Raw genomic sequence first — 2,158 nt, 5'->3', positions numbered from 1 at the left:
GCTTTTCTCTCAGGCTCTGTTTTTTGGGGAATCCAAACTAAGACGATTGGTACCCAGAATGGCCCTAGAAAGCAGGCATTCAGGATGGGAGATTGGAGCTGGTTTACTCACCAAATGACAAAAACCTCATTGCAGAATGATGCCCTCCCAACCCCTACCAAAGTTGCCCATTCCCAGAATCTGAATATGCTACCTTAAGTGTCTGAGGCAGGTGTGAGTAAGGTTAAGAACCTTGAGGTGGGGAGATTATCCTGGATTGTCTGTGTAAGCCCAGCCTTACCATGTGGGTCTTTAAAAGCAGAGAACCTTTCTTGGCTGGTGGTCAAGGGAGAGCGACTACAGAAGGTTGGCCAAAGAAATGCAATGTTGCTGGCTTTGAAGATGAAGGAAGATGACCGTGAGCTAAGGAAAGCAGGCAGCCTCTAGAAAGTTAACAAGTAAATGGATTCTCCCCTGGAGCCTCCAGAAAGGAGCACAGCCCTGGAAACACCTTGATTTTAGTCCACTGAGACTCATGTCAGACTTCTATCTCCCAGAGCTGTAAGATGATACATTTGTGTTGTTTTAAGCCACTAAGTTTGTGAATTTGTGATGACATCAGGAGAACACTGGTGCAGTGTTGGTAAGCAGAGTGGTGATAGCCTGTGGCATGCAGGAGCAGCACAGTCACCACTGACACTGTCATCTGTAGGTGTAGGTAGAAGATGAAGCATTGGATCCTGTAGTACCTATGGCACTTGAACAGTAGAGGGGCAGTGATAAAGTCTGTGGACTTGGCCAGCTTTTATTAACTGCTTTGGAAGCCTGGAAAACAAAATAACAGGCTCAAGTCAGCCAACTGTCAGTTTAAGGCAAGGTTGAAGGAGAGCCTTATCTCCTGCAGTGGAGAGAAAACTACCTGAAATAGGCCCAGTATCTAGTTGTAAGGTTGGAAAATACTAAGTCTTGACAATTTTCCTTTATGAAAGTTTAGGTTTGACAAAAAGAGAATAGGACACTGAGACCTAAGTTAGTAATACAGTGGATGACCCTGAAAATATTGCAAACCTGGATTTTCCTAGTGTGGGGCTGGCAGAAGCAGCTCATGCTCCCTTGCCTGAAGACCCTGCCAAGGCTTCCAGTGAGGCAGCTCTTGACCTCCACATTCTCTTCCAGAACCCTTATTATTCTCCAAACCAAGAACCAGGGTGACTTCTCAGTAGAGCCTGAGTGGAGAAATACAACCTCCGTCTCGGGGAAAATAGTGTAGATACTGAAGGAACTGCAGAACCTGATACATACTGTCAGGAACCAGGGGGAAATGTGTGTGAATGATTTTGAGGGTGTTAAGCCAAAGGTGGAAGTTGAGGGAAGACTATAAGGCGGGATAAGAAAGATTACTATAGGAGCCGGGCACAGGGGCTCATGCCTGTAATTCCAGCACTTTGGGAGGCTGAGGCAGGCAGATCACCTAAGGTCGGGAGTTTGAGACCAGCCTGACCAACATGGAGAAACCCCGTTTCAACTGAAAATACAAAATTAGCCGGGCGTGTGGCACATGCCTGTAATCCCAGCTACTCAGGAGGCTGAGGCAGGAGAATTGCTTGAACCCGGGAGGTTGCAATGGGCCAAGATCATGCCATTGCACTCCAGCCTGGGCAACAAGAGTGAAACTCCGTCTCAAAAAAAAAAAAAAAAAAAAAAGATTACTATAGGAATGTTTACCCATGACTTAGAAGTGAACAACACCTGAATTTGGTCATAATATTCTGTTGGGATGGCTGCTGAGGCTTGGCTATGATTGTGGCACACAGTAAATGAGGTGAAGATGGTGGAACTGCCTTGGTATGGTATTGAAGAAAGAGTTGGAAAGTTCCAGGAGGTGCGAATGTTAGAATGGATTCATTATGTGAGACTGAACAACCGTCTAACTATGTTCCTCAGGAAGACATTGCCTTCACTAAGGCAATGTAAAATGCACTGGTTTGCAAACTGTTCATCCAACAAGGGACTAATATCCAGAATATACAGGGAACTCAACAGCAAAAAATAATAATAATAATAATAATAATAATAATCTCATTAAAAAGTGGGAAAAGGATCTGAAAAGACATTTCTCAAAAGAAGACATACAGATGGCCAAGTAAGTGGAAAAATGTTCAACATCACTAATTATCAG

This window comes from Homo sapiens, chromosome 5, assembly GCF_000001405.40.
Source record: "Homo sapiens chromosome 5, GRCh38.p14 Primary Assembly".
In the NCBI taxonomy this organism is placed as follows: Eukaryota; Metazoa; Chordata; class Mammalia; order Primates; family Hominidae; genus Homo; species Homo sapiens.
The sequence above is the reverse complement of the archived record's forward strand: the minus strand, read 5'-3'. Positions refer to the sequence as shown.